The following is a 17740-nucleotide window of genomic DNA, read 5'->3' as shown; positions in this document are numbered from 1 at the left end:
AATACTAGCTAGTCTTTCTGATGAAGAATTATGTTAAAGGACAATCCAAACCAAGTTCGATTATAAGAGTGATGATGTAGGTCTGTCTGACCATATTTGCTGCTTGCATATTAAATTTCCTAAACTCACTGATCTGTAACTCTCAATGGAGTTATTTTTATGTGGTCATATACTTCAAATAAACACACTTAAAATAAAATCTTAGGATATTACACTTATAAGATGCTCAACAGTAGAGTAATGATGCTTTATACTATGTCCACAGGTGAGAACGTAGCCCACATAAAAAATCCTCTGTGTCGCTACAGGATCTCTTTAAACTTAGCTGTTTGATGCTGATCATTTAAATGCACTCACACTGATGTAAGATTAAACAGTGTGGTTAGAAGGGCTTTTGCCGCATGATGAGGGCGACTGAGTCTAACTTTAACTTTCCCATAACTAGCTGTGTAAATATAGGGAAGATCATCTAGCCTTTCTTCATCTCTAAACTTAGAACTTCATGCTGATCAGCACAGTTTTGAAGATAAAATGAGATGATATAGAAGAAAAAGGGTTGAAAAGTTTAAAACTATAAAAGCTAATCTGTTGATTACAAAGAATATACAAGTAATACATTGGATGGTTTTTCCCAAACTAACCTGTATGACATAGGATGTTGCCGATCTTCCACAGGCCCTGAATAATGAATAAACATTTTTTATTTTCTGAAGAAACATAGGAAACGTCATTTCACAAGCACCATTTCCCTGTGAAAACAGGTAATTTATTTTCCCAAGTGAGTTTTAATTTTTACATGAAGCACTTTGATCAGTTGCTTTTCTACAAACACTAACTGGACAGCAGAGAGATGTTCAGTTTACTCTGCAAAGAAGGCATATGTGTGTGCATGCTTGGAAAAGCATGCAATACCCCAGTGGTCTCTGGAATTACTAGGATTTGCACCACAAAGGCAGCAAATAGGTGGGGGACAGACAAGGGTGGGGGAGTACTCAAATTCTTCACACTACCACTGCTCTGCCTGCATTGCAGGGTGCTTCTAGAAGTACATGCCACTTTTTGTAGAAAGGTTCCAAGAGCAGAAGTGGTAGAAGGTGGAAAATCAAGAGAGACAGTGGAGAGGGCTGGTGTGGAAAGACCAAAAGCAGGACAGGAATGTTGGGGGAGACTGGCTAGAATGCTATGAGAGAGGGAAGTAGCAGGCTTAATGGCAGGTTTTGTGTGTGGCGGCGGGGTGGGGGCTGGTGGGTGCTTTTTTCTTCTATCTCTCCTTCTGGGTATGAACTTGAATGAATAATTTCATATTTGGTGGCTTCCCATCTTCTGAAACCATTTTTGAGAAGGTAGGAAGCAGGGCAAGAAGGGGAAAGTACCACTAATTGAACATGGGGCAGTCTTCAAACACCCCATTGTGTTTCAGTGTGTCTGGTGTTTGTTGCAAATTCTCCATAAGGTGCTGGCTTGCTAGCTCTCTGCTGCCACAGAGGTCATTCGTGGCTGCTGGGGAAGAAGTGGCCATCTGCTTTGTCAGGTCATTGTGCATTCTGGCCCTCAGCAGTTGTTTCAGGATAAAATCACTTGGTCTCCAAAGTTATGCCCAACCTGAATGTCCAGAACTTGGAAAGAAAGAAGAATCAGAGTGCAGTTCCAGCTCAAGTTTAAGTCTAGGAGGAATATGACAAGACTGGGGACAAGCCAAGTCACAGAATGTAAGGAACTGACGTGCATGGGTCTGAACCAAGGCTCTGTGATTTCTCTAAGTTACTTAACCTTCTTATGCCCTATCTTTCCTATGGAGATATAATGTGTACAGCTCTGGTTTTTAGAGAAAGTTTAGAAAAAATAATGTATATAAAATATTTAGCAGAGTTTCTGGGATATAATAACAAACTCAATAATAATAACTATCATTAAGGCCGAAGCTGAACATCTTATTTTGCTAAGTCCAGATTGATTGTTACTGTAACTTTAAAAATAAGATGAACTAATTATAAGTGTTTCTTTCTCAAAATTCTATGCAAAGCTTTCCTTTAAAACTTTCAGGATAAGGACTTTTTTTCTGCTCGCTTAGAAAGCAGTTTAAATTTAGGCTGTCCGTATTTCAGTTTTGTGGTGGTCTTAACTTTATCAACTAAGAGCTTCATATTGCCACAGGTGTTTTTTTTTTTCCTTTTAAGTGGGAGAAAGTAAATAATTTATCAAATAGGTTCAGAAGCTAAAGCCTGGGGGAAAAATTTAGCAACTTTGCATCTAAATTTAATCTAAGAGTAACTGTGTTGAGAAATATCTTAGTTGTGAATGTATTTGGAAAGTATAGGCGTTCTCATTTCATAATTATTTTGGTTATCTAGAAAAAAATTATGGTTTCAATAGCAGAATATGCAATTTTATTTAAGGATGGATATTTTTTCCTAGAATGTAAATATTATTTCAGTTTGAAGACAGGAAAAAGTGGGACAGTGAACAACATATGCTTTCATTCAACAGTATGTAATGATTGGTCACTATGTATCAGGCACATATTAATCCAGTCAAAGATTAAATTGCCCACAAAGGCATTGCCAAAAGTAAGATATCCCAGATGTCCCAATGCAGGAGGCAGTAGGGTCTGGATTATGGTTGGGAAAGGGGGAATGTTTTGTTAAAGGTTTAAGGAAGTGTCAGCCACAAAGCATTGGATGCTTGGGGGAGAGGCGGTCTTGGCACACTGCTGCTGGGATTATCTTCTTCTCCCCAGCACAGCATATAGCACGTAAGCGGGCCCTGCAAGTCCAGCTTCATGCTGTGCTTCCACCTCTCAGTTGTGCCCTCCATTTCTGGGAATGGCCATGGGATCAGCCTTTGCTTGGGGGAGGGTCCCCACTTAGAGAACTGGACTATGGTGGCTGTTCTCAGTGCAGCGCAAAGTGTGGCTGGGCCCTTGTGTCAGGATCACCATGACAGCTTGCCAAAATGCAGATTCCTTTGGTGCTACAGAACGAAATCCTGGGTATGCATAGGCAGGTGTCCATCAGCTCTAAGAGTCTTCTTTATTTTCAGTTTTTGGAGCAAGGGTAAAAATAAAGTACAAAATAATTGTAGTAGAGCTAAACACACACACATGCACACACCCTTGGTTTTTAAAGTACAGCGTGTCTAATATACGATCTATTACTTTGGCTTTGTTTTAAGAAGGGGCAGAATTCATACCGGTCTTTGAAAGAAACATTTTTAACAGGTCTTTTTTCTTTTCTTTTTCTTTTCTCTTCTCTTTTCTTCTTTACTCTTCTCTTCCCCCCCTTTTCTTTTCTTTTTCCCTTCCCTTCCCCTCCCTTCCTCCATTTCCTTTTCTTCTTTTCCCCCTCCCCTTCCCTCCCCTCCCCATCGTTCCTTCTTCCTATTTGTGCTTGTCTTGTTTTCCAATAAGAAGGTACTGATAAGCTACAGACCACTCGTTACCCCGTAATGACCACTAAACAGCATTCACAGCCAAATGGGTTGGGTTAAAGGCCTGACCCCACAACTTATTAGTTGTGGAACTTGGGAATGTTTCTTAACTTCTTGGATTCCTCTGTTTCTAGATCCCTAGGAGATGGAAATACCTTCTTCTTGAAGATTAAATTAGGTATTATGTTAAGGAGCTAAACAGGTTATAGCCCAGACGTGTTCAATAAGTTCCTGGTACTCATAAACCTTATCTCAAGGCACTACCAATCTCATTTATTAATCACGGGAGTGTACATATCCTTCCTCAAACATTCTCCAACTCCATACGCTTCCCTTTGTAGATAACGCTCTTCTCCTCTTTCCCCGACTACTGAAAGAACATCCATTCTTTCAAGATCCAGTCCAAATGACACCTTCTCGGGTGTCTCTCCGTTTCCTATGTAGTTAGCCCGCCACGCGATTGCGTCAGAATATACTTCTCTCATAATACATATGCAACTGAACCATAATTATGCACCTAGGTGCTATGCCCTCTAGATTACGTGAAATGTCATTCTTAAATCTTCAGCACTTAGCCTGTTGCCTGGCACGTAACAGGTCACTAAATGCTCTCTCTATACACATGCTCACACAAGAATATGCATATGTATATATATGTATAAAATGCCTGGTTAAGATAGATTCATGCGCCGATGGCTGGTCAGAGGAACACATGGGTGTGCTCTGAAGGAAGCGATGGCCCTATGCGGACAGGGTAGTTGTCCTAGAGTCCCCAGGCGCACCTCAGTGCTTAGGCGCAGCGCTGAGGGGATGGCCTCTGCCACAGAGACAGTCGGATTTCTCCATTTTGGGACGCAGCTCGGCAGGGCACCGGGAGGGGGCGGCGTTGTCACGCAGCTGGATGCTCCACGGGTGACACCCCCGCACCCTACCCCTCACCCCCGAGCCGCGCAGCTTGAGTGACTAGGCCGGGGCTCCCCCAGTTAGGAGGTGCGGGCTGTTTTTCCTCCCAGTCTGGGCGGGCAGGGCTGAGCAGGGTTTGGGGAGTATTCTGTGACCCTGGCATTCTCCCCTCTGCCCCACCTCAGCCCCCGGCAGCGTCTAGGCGCTGGGAAAGCTGCTCCGGGTTAGTTGATGGAGGCAGCGAGCTGCCGAAGAGACGGCCACAGCTTTCTAGCAAAGAGTGGTGGTGGCGCGAGTGAGCGTGCGTAGAATTAGCTCTGCCGAAGTCACCGAAGCTGGAGGAGAGAATTCATTTTATTCTTGAAACTCCTACTTTTACGTCTCGTGGAAAACCAAATCGTATTCCACTGACACTATGATGCACTTAAAATGGCCAAACTTTAGGGGGCCGCGAGGAACGCGCTTCGCCGCCTCCAATTTTGTCAGAGAACTCGCAGCAAAGGCACCGGACACCTAGCGGCCCTTTCCCTGGACTCCGGGGCAGCACGCACTCCCCGGGCGCGCTCTCTGCGCCCACTCGGCCCGCCCAGTCCTCGGCCATTGGCTGCTCGCCCGCGTCTGCTCCGTGACGCGCCCTGACCCCCGCGAAGTACTGGCCCCTTGGAGCCACTCGTGCGCAGGAGCCGCGCACGCCCGAGGCCCGTGGTGCCGCCCCCGCGCCTTCTCGGGCTCGCCCAGAGCTCCCCGGCGCGCTTCCCGAGGTTTCGAGAATCGAAACCCAGTTATCAACAAGCCCTTCCCACTCACGCGCCGTGACTGATTTGCGTGCAAGAGTGGACTCATGAGTCCACACTTGGATCGGGTTTATCAATGGAGTAAATGGTCTACCTAAAAACCGAGGTTTAAAAGAGCGGTCGTGAGGAACCTCCGGAGCCCAACCGTGATGATCTAAAGACGGGCTGAGTCCGCGAGAATTTTGGGAAGTTTCTGCAGTTGCAGGATTTTAGTCGTGATCTGGTTTTGATGACCACTTATGATTCCTGGGGCATTTAAAGTGTCTCCTCCTGGGGAAAATGAAAAGAGATTTGTGGGAGGGGGCGTACATAAATTAAATGTATGTATAAATACACGCATCTACGGGCGCACACAGTATCCGCACATACAGCCCAGGACCTCACGCTCACCGGCAGTCGTCCCGCACTAACTGCTGGGCTAGTCAGCTGCGTGCCCTGCGGGCGGGGGAGGGCAGAGGGGGCGGCGCCCTATGCAGATGAGGAGGGTGTGGCGAACGTGCCGCTCTGGGCCCCGGAAGCGCAGAGAAGCCCGGTATAAAAAAAGTACTGAAGACATTTTCCCCGCACAACTGCTAAAGCTCCAGAGACACGAGCGTGTGTGGCAGCAAGAGCCGCCAGTTCGGGACCACCGCAGCTGGGGTGGCAGCGGCGCAGGAGGGGTCGCGGGGAGGGAGTGGTGAGCGCAGGCGGCAGGGGTCTGGGAAAGACGAAGTCGCTATTTGCTGTCTGAGCGCGCTCGCAGCTCCTGGAAGTGTTGCCGCCTCTCGGTTTCGCTCTCGCTCGCTGCGCTCCTAGAAGGGGCGGCCGCCTCCAGGTGACACAGACGGGACTCTCGCTTGCGCTTTCCAGATGCATCAGAGATACTTTTGGTGCGGGGCTGCTCTGCGGGGCGCGGTGCGCGGCTGGGGACTGTAAGGGCCGGGGGAGGGAGTCTCCGAGGAGGCCCGGGGTCAGGGAACTATCGGGGGAGGGGGCGCTCTTTTCCTGGCGGGCCTCTGCTCTCCGCCGCCGCGCGTGCTCTCCGCCGCCGCGCGTCCTCACCGCGCTCCTTTCCCTTTCTTTTTAGGACTGACCAGGGCCAAGTGGCGCTCGGCGGGCACTACATGGCGGAGGGTGAAGGGTACTTCGCCATGTCTGAGGACGAGCTGGCCTGCAGCCCCTACATCCCCCTAGGCGGCGACTTCGGCGGCGGCGACTTCGGCGGCGGCGACTTCGGCGGCGGCGACTTCGGCGGTGGCGGCAGCTTCGGTGGGCATTGCTTGGACTATTGCGAAAGCCCTACGGCGCACTGCAATGTGCTGAACTGGGAGCAAGTGCAGCGGCTGGACGGCATCCTGAGCGAGACCATTCCGATTCACGGGCGCGGCAACTTCCCCACGCTCGAGCTGCAGCCGAGCCTGATCGTGAAGGTGGTGCGGCGGCGCCTGGCCGAGAAGCGCATTGGCGTCCGCGACGTGCGCCTCAACGGCTCGGCAGCCAGCCATGTCCTGCACCAGGACAGCGGCCTGGGCTACAAGGACCTGGACCTCATCTTCTGCGCCGACCTGCGCGGGGAAGGGGAGTTTCAGACTGTGAAGGACGTCGTGCTGGACTGCCTGTTGGACTTCTTACCCGAGGGGGTGAACAAAGAGAAGATCACACCACTCACGCTCAAGGTAACACCACCCGAGATGCACTTGGGTCCTGACCCAGTCTGGGCCGGGTGTGACGGGGAGCGGGCAGAGGGGCATCGGTTAAATGCCATGAATCTGTGGCCATCACGAGTTTGGGCGCGCGTTATTTCTTTGATTTTTGATTTTTTAAACCAGTAAACTGACGTGCGTGGACGGTGTTGAGTGTTTCAGTTTACTTGATGCTTTGGCGCTACAACTCTTCTCCCAGGTCCTCCTCTGCCCTCTCTTCTCTTCTTTCTCCTTATGTTTTAACTCTTGGCTTTCCCTGTTGGAGTCTTGTCCAGAGTAGATTCTGATACTTGGCAGAATGAAATGATGTAAATAATTTTTGAGTCATTATATTTGAGTCTAGCCTTTGGGAAAATAACAGCCTGAAGCAGAAGTGAGTCAATGAGTTTTTTATTGTACTGGAAAAGGTGAATAGATTTCACAGCGGCATTCAGCTGACTACGTGTTAAAGGTCTATCTGGTGGTTCTTCGTGCTGGTTCATATGTTAAGGGTATAGTGGCACCCCCTCCCCACCCTCCACTTTAGTTCAAGACGGGTTTTATATGATTAGTTAAAATTGTCTGAGGAGGCAGGCTCCTGGAATGTCATAATTTAGTTTATATTTGATTGTAACTGCAGGGTGCCCCTGGAGGGACACACAAGATACTGATAACATTGATTGCCGCAGGCGGAGAGGAATTGGGTGGCTTGGAACAAGGGCGAGAGGCTGACTAACCTACCGCTGAATGCCCTTCCGAGTCTTTTGAATGTTGTTTGGATACTGTGTGAATATTGTGCCTATTAGACCGTTTTCAAAAAGTAACACTTAAAAAGTCAGACATGACAACAAAACCTCTTACTACTGTGCTACGTCTGCCAAAAGCCTCAAACTATTACCTCTAGTCCCTTTCCCAGACAGTAAAACTACTCGTTAAAAGTATTTTTTTTCTATTTTCAGAAGACCGTTTAAGCCTGTAGGTAGTGTTTGGCTGAAACTTGACAAAACAAAAGGGAAAGAGCAAAATAATTCTCAGCTGTGAAGAGGATGTATTTATTTATTGATTTATTATTTTCTAGGTTTGCTCATTTTGTTTTATCTTTTAAATTGTAGGAAGCTTATGTGCAGAAAATGGTTAAAGTGTGCAATGACTCTGACCGATGGAGTCTTATATCCCTGTCAAACAACAGTGGCAAAAATGTGGAACTGAAATTTGTGGATTCCCTCCGGAGGCAGTTTGAATTCAGTGTAGATTCTTTTCAAATCAAATTAGACTCTCTTCTGCTCTTTTATGAATGTTCAGAGAACCCAATGACTGAGACATTTCACCCCACAATAATCGGGGAGAGCGTCTATGGCGATTTCCAGGAAGCCTTTGATCACCTTTGTAACAAGATCATTGCCACCAGGAACCCAGAGGAAATCCGAGGGGGAGGCCTGCTTAAGTACTGCAACCTCTTGGTGAGGGGCTTTAGGCCCGCCTCTGATGAAATCAAGACCCTTCAAAGGTATATGTGTTCCAGGTTTTTCATCGACTTCTCAGACATTGGAGAGCAGCAGAGAAAACTGGAGTCCTATTTGCAGAACCACTTTGTGGGATTGGAAGACCGCAAGTATGAGTATCTCATGACCCTTCATGGAGTGGTAAATGAGAGCACAGTGTGCCTGATGGGACATGAAAGAAGACAGACTTTAAACCTTATCACCATGCTGGCTATCCGGGTGTTAGCTGACCAAAATGTCATTCCTAATGTGGCTAATGTCACTTGCTATTACCAGCCAGCCCCCTATGTAGCAGATGCCAACTTTAGCAATTACTACATTGCACAGGTTCAGCCAGTATTCACGTGCCAGCAACAGACCTACTCCACTTGGCTACCCTGCAATTAAGAATCATTTAAAAATGTCCTGTGGGGAAGCCATTTCAGACAAGACAGGAGAGAAAAAAAAAAAAAAGAAAAAAAAAAGAGTGATCCAGCCCTTATTAGGGATGTGTTTTGTGCAATGATGATATGCTCCTGGTTTTAAGTTTGGCAAAGCTTATGTATCTTTTAATAGATGTGGGAGCATGATCTCGAAAGGATCCTTTTCCCTTCTCTTATTCTCCTACCCAATTGGATTCTATCCTGCAAAAAAAGAGAGACCTGTCATTAGAAGCAACCAGGTTCTCCTGATACAAGAGAAGAAATGTGTGATGACAATATGGGTTTGCTGTATCTGCTCCCATAGCTTTGCCATAGGAAAAAAAAAAGTGGAAAGTTTCTTTTAAGATGGAATTCATAAAAGGGAAAATACGGAGGAAAAAAGGTCTCACTCCAACTTGTGAATCAGTTTAGGAGTTCAGATATTAATAGTAACAATACAGGAAAAAGGGGAACTCCAACGTTGGGATTACTGTCTGAGGCTTGTAGCAAGTGCTTTCTGTGGAATGATCTTGTTTTGCTAACAAACGGCTTGCTCCAAATGAACAGTAGTAGGTTGGTGCAGTTCTCGTAACAATCAGCAGAACTTATGATGACACAATCCATTAATTCCAGCTGCGTGCATAGATCACATTTTTAAAATGTAAAAATGCAAGCAAAAACAGCTGTAACAAAGAAAGTGTGCTCAAGGACCAAAGATTTAACAGATAAAAATACCCAATTAGAAGAGATATAGTAGACTATATGAAGAGAGATTATATTTGTTACACACCAATATACATCAAAGTGCCTGTTGCCTTCTGAAAATTTGAAGTGGCAAAATTATTTTATGGTTTAATGATTATTTTATTTTATCAGGGACTGCCTCAAGAAGAAAATAACATAAGCTTGTGAATGGTGGAGAAAATGCCCTATTTTTTCTTGCAAATACTTGTATAAAGTTAACATTTGTTGATCTGATATTATCATAGGTACATGTGTATGTGTGTATAAATTATATGTGTGTGTGTATATATACATTTTATATATACATTTTATATGTATATATACACAGTAGATTGACTATGATCTAGAATAATGTCTCAAATAGGAAATGTTTAAATACTGTGTGTTTTTATGTTTTCAACAGGATAACATGAGACGTGGGCATATTGCAATGATGAATTAAATCCACATCTAAAAAAATTAAATGAAGGAGGGAACCAAGTAATATATTTCATAGGAAGAGCAGAAATTATACTGTTTTAGTGGGATTTTTTTTTCTTTTTTTTTTTTTCTTTGGTGAGCCATAAAATTCCACAAATGGGAGAATATTTGTTTGGCAGAGCACTCTTTTTTATATTGAACTGCCATTTTGACAGTTGGAACCCATTTATTAAAAAAAAAATTGCATTCCTCTATGATGTTTAATCTAGTGGATCATGGATCAGTAATAGGCTACTTAAATCCCTGACTGCTAAAAAGGATTTCCGGTGATCTAAACACTACTTGCTAATGTTTAAATGAATTTTAATGAATGCATTCTGCATTTCTGGACCACTAGAATTTAGTAATGTGAAATGACCCTTTTTACAGAATATTTGCACAATTGCTTAAAATTTATATATGAGATATATATTATATATAACATTTTATAAATCATGTCAATATGAAACATCTTTGATCTGGTTGTCACACTGCATTTAAATATTTAGTACTGTACTTTAAATCGCTTTCCATTAAATCAAATCCAACTTTATTTTCTTTCTTACAAAAATACCAGTTATACCTTTGTGAAATGAACTGGCATTACTATTTCAGTTCAATAACAGCTAATCCTAAAACCACCCTTTCTCCTAGCCAGTAGTTCCTCTAGATACTGGTCTCTGAAAATGCATTTGTTAAAAACAAAACAAAACTAACACATAAGAACCTTCCCTTTGTGTTGTGAAACAACCACATAATCTCCACAACCTTAGTGGATGACTGCTTGCTATGATAATTCCTCGAAGACCCAATTAGAAGATTTTCATCATCAGTTAAAGAGAGACCACGGGAGAAAAAAATATCCTCCTGTTGGCAGTATAATTTGTTTGTTTGTTTATCTAGGGATCCTCAGATGCTTAGTGCTAGGTTAATCCAGGTTAATCCGTCTGGACTACCTTTTGTGCATCTTTCTTTGAAGCCTTAATGGGAACCTGATGGGTTTGCTGTAGCAGCTTCCTTGTGAATTCTGTCAGAGCTGCAACAGCCGCTGCACTGCCACTCAGTTTTCTAAGGAACTCCTCCTACTACCATCTTGGCTCAGTCTCCCTCACTTAAGCCCTGGGTTTGAAAAATTAATTGCAACTTCCCAGGAAACATTGTTCAGTTTGCAGATTAAGCCTGGCACTCACCTATCAGAAACCAGAGCTCCGCCTGCTTAGTTGTTTCAAAGTTTTCTGAAAGAAAACTAGGGGAGCACTTGTGAACACAGGAGCAGCTGGTGATCTGCTTTCTTACCCTAACTCTTGACAAATGAGTCGTCTACTATTTTAAAGAGTCTGGAGGTCTCTGACTCTGCCATAACAATAACCTGCTGTTAATTTATAACACAGATTTTTGTTTGGAAGAGCCTTATTTGAAATACACTTTGATTTATTTTCTTAAATATTTATATTCTTTTCTTGCTTACTTCAGGGTTGGTAGCTTAGTTGGAAGTGCCAGCACCTGGCACCTATTCATATAGAACAGGCTGTACTCAAGACAACTTCTAGCATTTACTTTAAGACTTATATAATTTATTTCTATTTTGTGTGTACTATAGTCTTGTGCATATGTAGTTGAACACACAGTGAAATATATGTCTCTCTTTGTGGATGTGCGGCCTAAAAATTTGAATGTCTGGTGAGAGAGAGCCATGTGTATAGGTCAGAGAAAAGAACAGCTCCCGACTCCCTATTAGCGCCTGTGATTTGTTTCCTTTTGTGTTTATCTGGCCTAGTGTGCTGTTTCTTTAAACCAGGAAGAAGTTTTGTCTTTTGGAGGCTCTTCTCACCTGTCCAGCCTGGCATGTCAGAGAACACATAGCCTGTGACAATGCCGTTTTTAAAGGTTTACTTAATTTGCAGTAAATCCAGCTGCCTCAAGAACTCCTACACCAAGATGGACATTTCCTTTCCAGAAATGGGATCAAGTATCTGCTCACTTTGGTATTGGATGGACTAATAATGTAGCTCCAAAAATGCAAGGATGGAAGAATATGTGTAATCCAAACCAAGGAAGGAAATGAAAAGTGAACGTACTGTTTTTACCACCCCTTTCTGTTTGCTTATTGTTGGTTGCTTCACTGTGCATAAAGTTGTTTTCAATGCAACGCTTGTTAAATAAATATTGTGAACTATTTTGTAAATGAAATGTATTATGTTGAAAGCTGTCAGTTCAAAAATAAGCTTTTTTGTTGTTGTTGAAGATGAAGTGTGTTAGGTGAAACCAAAAAGCCAAAAAAAGTAATTTCATATATAGCATCTATTTGAATATAATCTTTCTTTAAAATTTCTTTTAGCATAGCATTTTCAGTGCTAAGAAAGAATCTCTATGTTATATTTTGTTAAAATAATGGCTTTCTAACAAAGCAAATGGTAAAGTACAAAGTTGGAAGATGTCAAGTTAACGAGACTTGCTGCAAAGCCTTGCAGAACGGAGGAGGCTCTGCCTGCTGGCTGTCTCTCCCTCCAACCTCTCTACAATCATGCCTGCTTTGAGGTGTTCTGTTGCAGCAAGCTGCACCTTGGGTCACTCTTTTGGAATATTTTGACTATAGGCTGCGTCACAGGCAGAAAAGGAGTTGATGGAAAATGGACTAAAAAACTGACATGTTTGAATCAGTGCTAGAGGGAACAGATTGTGAATTTTGTTTACAGCATCCAATATTTGGATTTTTTTGTAAATAAAAAAGTTATTTTTTTCTATTGATTTGTGTTTGCTGTCTACAATGTCTGTATTGACTAAAGACCATGTCCTTTGAATCCCAACCCACGTCCTTTAGAAAAGGCAGAGCGGTACATAGAGAAGAGTAGCCTTCAGCCACTTTCTGATTGAAGCACAATAAATGAAAACATCCAGCTGTCAGTCAGCCCATCTCTGACTGGCTCAGTTAGCTCCAAAAGCATCTAGCTAATAGATGCCAACAATTTTTTTGTCTGGGTATCAATTTAGCAGTGTTAAGTGACCAGAAGTCAGAACTGTTTTCCGATATCAGTAGAGACTCATGGCTCTAGTAGGCTGTAGGGCTCTAGTAGCTCTGCGTGAGCCTTGGTCTTCCTGAGTAGCCTTAGGGCTGTGATTTCATCAGTGGTTATATAGATTCTGTTCGAGGCTCTATAGTGTTATTCAGAGTTTTTACGTTGGGGTGAGAGGAATTGGTGGCCAGGAATTGAAAGAGGAAGTATAGAGAAGGAAGAGCAATCAAAAGATCTAGTATGTTCTGTGTGTGTGTGTGTGTGTGTGTGTGTGTGTGTGTGTGTTGGGTGCAAGGAAATCACCCTTTTGTCTAGCATTTAATGTAACCTCACCTATTCAAATTGCTAGGGGGCATACATTTATGTATTAATTAAAATTTTTCTTAGTGTAATTTTGGAGATGGTCTCAATGCTAGTAGTATGAGAATTTGGTAAGCCCAGGCTACTATAGGATATACATGTGGTTGTAAAAACCACTTAAAGTCTTGATCTTGAATAGAATGCATGCTTGACACCGAGTCTGTGAAAGAGCAACTCTTGGCATTGAAAACCAGCTTCCTTCCCGTATACAGTGCATCATAAAAATACAAGGTGGTTATTTGGTTTGATAATGGTATTTGTGTGTCATTTTCTTCTTCCTTTGTTGCAGCCTCTTCATTCTACAGCCAGTTCCTCATATGTCTGTGGTCACCACATAATTATTTTTAAACAATGGTTGAATAAGAGCAGTATATATTAAACTTCTCCTAGGCTTAGATATACCCTGCCATTTCTAGTTGAATTACTAGGCTGCCCCTCCTAGCTGAGCCTGGAGAGAAGTAATCCACCCTTCCTTTCCTTAGTAACCTCATTCCCTAAACTTCTAATTCCTTTAGTAAGAAAAAGAAAGAACAAAATATACCAAAAAAGAAAAATAAATTAATATCATAGTTTTTAAATATAAAGTAGAATAAGGTTTGTTAAAATCAAGTAATTCCAAAATTAAACTCTAATTTTCTTTAAAGGACCAAGTTTGAGATCAACAATATGAACACAGTATCCTTCAGTCTAATAGCAAATACATCACGTAGGACCGAGGGAGGAGAAATGATTTTAAAATGACAGTGGCTTTTACCTAGCATGACTCAGATCTTGGTTTCTAATGCCATTCTCCAATAAAAGGAACTAGAAGTTGAATCTATGTCTGGAGCAGGAAATATATAAGAGAAGCCTGAAGCATCTTGTGGTGCCTTGAGAAAGCATAAAAAAAAGATAAAAATCATAATGATGAGGGTGGCAGGGGTATGTCAAAGGGACATAGGAGCTAACTGAAAGAGCTCCAATAGCCAAAGCTGGAACAATTTAAGCAACAAAATAAATAGTAATGGATTATAACACAACGAGTAAAGTATCCATGCATTCACACTGATATAAATAAATGATTGAATGAACAAATGGAGGGAAAGAAATTTACTGTGCAGGATTCCAAATAATCAATGTAGATATTGGCCCTTCAAGGAGGTGGAGGTTAACTACCCACCTCTTAAGTGTAGGCTGTGCATAGTGACTTATGTCCAAAGATTACAATCTGGAAAAGGGAAAAAGAAGAGTACTGTACCATTGCAAAAACCGAACAAACACTACCTCAGCCAGCTGATCAAGGCCAACATAAGTAGTGACAAGTCATGATGATAGTATGTGCCCTTGTTGTGATGTGATAAGAATGGCACTTCACCTCTGTGGTTTTTTCCTCAACACTCTAAAACCTGCCAAATCTTGAGAACAGCATCATCCAAAACTAAATTGTGGGGCATTCTGTAAAATACTGGACCAGTATTCCTTAAATTATTAAAACAAAGAAAGTGTGAAAACTGCCATTGCCAAGAGGAGCCTAAAGAGACATATGACTTAAGTGTAATGTGGGATCCTGGTGGGGTCTGGCAACAGAAAAGAGCACTTGGTAAAATCTAAGGAAATCTGAAGCAAGCATTATTGAAATAATAATGGTTCAATATCAGCTCATTAGTTGTAACATGTAGTATGATGTCGACAAAAGGAGAAACTGGGTATGGGGTATATAGGAACTTTCTATATCATCACTTTTTAAAAATAAAAGTATTCTCACATAAAAAGTTTATTTAAAAATGAAGACTGGCCGGGCATGGTGGCTCATGCCTGTAATCCCAGCACTTTGGGAGGCTGAGGCGGGAGGATCACGAGGTCAAGAGATCGGGACCATCCTGGCCAACATGGTGAAACCTCGTCTCTACTAAAAATGCAAAAATTAGCTGGATGTGGTGGTGCATGCCCATAGTCCCGCTACTTGGGAGGCTGAGGCAGGAGAATCGCTTGAACCCGGGAAGTGGAGGTTGCAGTGAGCCAAGATTGTACCACTGCTCTCCAGCCTGGCAACAGAGCGAGACTCCATCTCAAAAAAAAAAAAAAAAATGAAGACTGAATAATTCAGAATAACTCTTCTCTGCTATTTCTGAGGAATGACTCCATTTGCAAAAATAATAGTGAATTTTATTTCTTAATGTCTCAGTACTTACAGTGTAAGGAAATCATATGAAGGAGTGAAAATAAAAAGTTGTGGTTTACTCAAAAGTTTTAGAGAAGCTTTACCTACACGTTTTAGAAAAAAGGAAGGGAGTTGAAGAGAGCTGAGCTCTGTAGCCAATGCTTTCCTATAGAATAATACCTTAGAGTACTATTACCTTAGAGTTTTAAGGAAGGAGAATACTAACTAACTATAAACCATTATGTAGATATTTATAACATGGAATGCTAAAATGATCAAGGGGCTAAACTTTCACTGCCCAAACATAACACAAAATCTGAAAAATTGAGAATTCATTGCAAGGGAGAAAATGATGTAATTTTTAAAAAATAGCAAGGCAGTCTAATATTTAATGGAATGTTGCAATGAAATATTATTTAATGTAAATAACCACTTCCACAACCTATCTGCTTACCTAAGCTTATCTTTTAGCATATTCAGGATTTTTTTTTTTTTTTTTCGAGACAGAGTGTTGCTCTGTCCCCCAGGCTGGAGTGCAGTGGCACAATCTGGGCTCACTGCAAGCTCCGCCTCCCGGGTTCACACCATTGTCCTGCCTCAGCCTCCTGATTAGCTGGAACTACAGGCGCCCGCCAGCAGGCCTGGCTAATTTTTTCTATTTTTTTAGTAGAGACGGGGTTTCACCGCGTTAGCCAGGATGGTCTTGATCTCCTCACCTCGTGATCTGCCGCCTCGGCCTCCCAAAGTGCTGGGATTACAGGCGTGAGCCACCGCGCCCGGCCTATTCAGGCTTTCTTAAAGTGGGGGGACACTTGTACTTAAATTTACGTTCCTATCTCAATTACTGTCTGGCACTTGAAATAGTTAAAAATGCAGTTTTAAAAAAGTAGGTACTCTGTAATTTGTAAAAGCAATAATTCCAGCTCAGCAGGTTATGAAGTTAGGACAAGTCCCGTGCTTTCTTGCTTAGGAACACTGAGCACCCTGAACTCCAGGAATTTATGAGTGTGGGGCTAAGTTATTTCTAACTTCAATAATGGAAAGTTCCCTTCAGGATCCCCTTCAGAAACTATTGATTTTCCAGCACAGCGTGTGCTTATCAGTAATGCCAAGATTTTGTGGCATCATCTGGCCATGTCATTAGAAAATGCTGAAACCCTATTCCTTTATTTTTTTTCTTCTTTTTTAGCAAAATTCAACATACTGGGCTTTACTAGGCCCTGTGGATAATGCCATTCTACACATTGATCCAGAATTACATATGCTCTGGAGTTTCTTTTTCTGTATGTCTTCAAAGAAGGTCAAGAGGATCATGATTATACAGTCTTCATTTAATAGGGCATAAACACTATTAAAATAGTTTAATCGTATTTTGAGAAAAGAAGAGAAACAAATTCAATCAGGTTCAAGGCCAAAAGGCTGAATTAGAGTTGCCAGATTCAGTAAATAAAAACATAGTATATCCTGTATTTAATCTAAATTTTATTTCAGATAAACTGATTTTTTATACAAATATATATTTTAAAAATATATTTTTCATAAAAATATATGTCATGTAATATTTATATATAATATATAACATGATACACATTATATATAATATATAACATGATACACATTATATATAATATATAACATGATACACATTATATATAATATATAACATGATACACATATATAATATATAACATGATACACATTATATATTATATATAACATGATACACATTATATATAATATATAACATGATACACATTATATATAATATATAACATGATACACATATATAACATGATACACATTATATATAATATATAACATGATACACATATATAATATATAACATGATACACATTATATGTAATATATAACATGATACACATTATATGTAATATATAATTGATACACATTATATATAATATATAATTGATACACATTATATATAATATATAATTGATACACATTATATATAATATATACTATGATACACATTATATATAATATATACTATGATACACATTATATATAATATATACTATGATACACATTATATATAATATATACTATGATACACATTATATACTATATACTATGATACACATTATATACTATATACTATGATACATATTATATAGTATATAATATGATACATATTATATAGTATATAATATGATACATATTATATAGTATATAATATGATACATATTATATAGTATATAATATGTTTTTTATGTATATACTAAAAACTTTTTTTTCTGAAATTCATATGCAACTGAGAGTCCTGTATTTTTTCAGGCAATCCTAAAACCTAGCTAGGCTTACACAATAAAGCTCAA

At 41.2% G+C, this 17740-nt stretch overlaps 1 protein-coding gene across 1 annotated transcript, besides 6 other annotated features; it reads left to right on the top strand.

The window, feature by feature from the left end:
* Nucleotides 4616–4665: an enhancer, noted in NCBI's record as "active region_24774". NCBI's record gives its function as "activates an Ori minimal core promoter by ATAC-STARR-seq in GM12878 lymphoblastoid cells {active_cell/tissue: GM12878}" and the evidence as "EXISTENCE:reporter gene assay evidence [ECO:0000049][PMID:35858748]".
* Nucleotides 5486–5615: a silencer, noted in NCBI's record as "silent region_17352". NCBI's record gives its function as "represses an Ori minimal core promoter by ATAC-STARR-seq in GM12878 lymphoblastoid cells {active_cell/tissue: GM12878}" and the evidence as "EXISTENCE:reporter gene assay evidence [ECO:0000049][PMID:35858748]".
* Nucleotides 5486–6026: a biological region, named in NCBI's record as "H3K27ac hESC enhancer GRCh37_chr6:82462059-82462559".
* Nucleotides 5526–6026: an enhancer, noted in NCBI's record as "H3K27ac hESC enhancer chr6:82462059-82462559 (GRCh37/hg19 assembly coordinates)". NCBI's record gives its function as "activates a minimal SCP1, AML or CMV promoter by ChIP-STARR-seq in naive H9 embryonic stem cells {active_cell/tissue: H9 hESC(naive)}" and the evidence as "EXISTENCE:reporter gene assay evidence [ECO:0000049][PMID:30033119]".
* TENT5A (terminal nucleotidyltransferase 5A) lies at nt 5687–12638 on the top strand. Its single transcript, NM_017633.3, has 3 exons — nt 5687–5937; nt 6190–6778; nt 7897–12638. The coding sequence occupies exons 2-3, from the start codon at nt 6227–6229 to the stop codon at nt 8671–8673; spliced, it is 1329 nt and encodes a 442-aa protein (NP_060103.2). The 5' UTR covers nt 5687–5937; nt 6190–6226; the 3' UTR covers nt 8674–12638.
* Nucleotides 16149–16318: an enhancer, noted in NCBI's record as "experimental_96031 CRE fragment used in MPRA reporter constructs". NCBI's record gives its function as "activates a minimal promoter by MPRAs in K562 erythroleukemia cells, with activity observed for both the introgressed and non-introgressed 6:82451852 variant alleles {active_cell/tissue: K562}" and the evidence as "EXISTENCE:reporter gene assay evidence [ECO:0000049][PMID:34662402]".
* Nucleotides 16695–16864: an enhancer, noted in NCBI's record as "experimental_96030 CRE fragment used in MPRA reporter constructs". NCBI's record gives its function as "activates a minimal promoter by MPRAs in K562 erythroleukemia cells, with activity observed for both the introgressed and non-introgressed 6:82451306 variant alleles {active_cell/tissue: K562}" and the evidence as "EXISTENCE:reporter gene assay evidence [ECO:0000049][PMID:34662402]".

The sequence above is a fragment of the Homo sapiens genome, chromosome 6, assembly GCF_000001405.40.
Source record: "Homo sapiens chromosome 6, GRCh38.p14 Primary Assembly".
NCBI classification, from domain to species: domain Eukaryota; kingdom Metazoa; phylum Chordata; class Mammalia; order Primates; family Hominidae; genus Homo; species Homo sapiens.
The sequence above is the reverse complement of the archived record's forward strand: the minus strand, read 5'-3'. Positions and strand labels throughout refer to the sequence as shown.

Bases quoted from the DNA above. Each gene is read 5' to 3' on its own strand.
- TENT5A (NM_017633.3), top strand. From the start codon at position 6,227: ATGGCGGAGGGTGAAGGGTACTTCGCCATGTCTGAGGACGAGCTGGCC. The intron at 6,779-7,896 runs GTAACACCACCC...TTTAAATTGTAG, and splicing joins TCACACCACTCACGCTCAAG to GAAGCTTATGTGCAGAAAAT.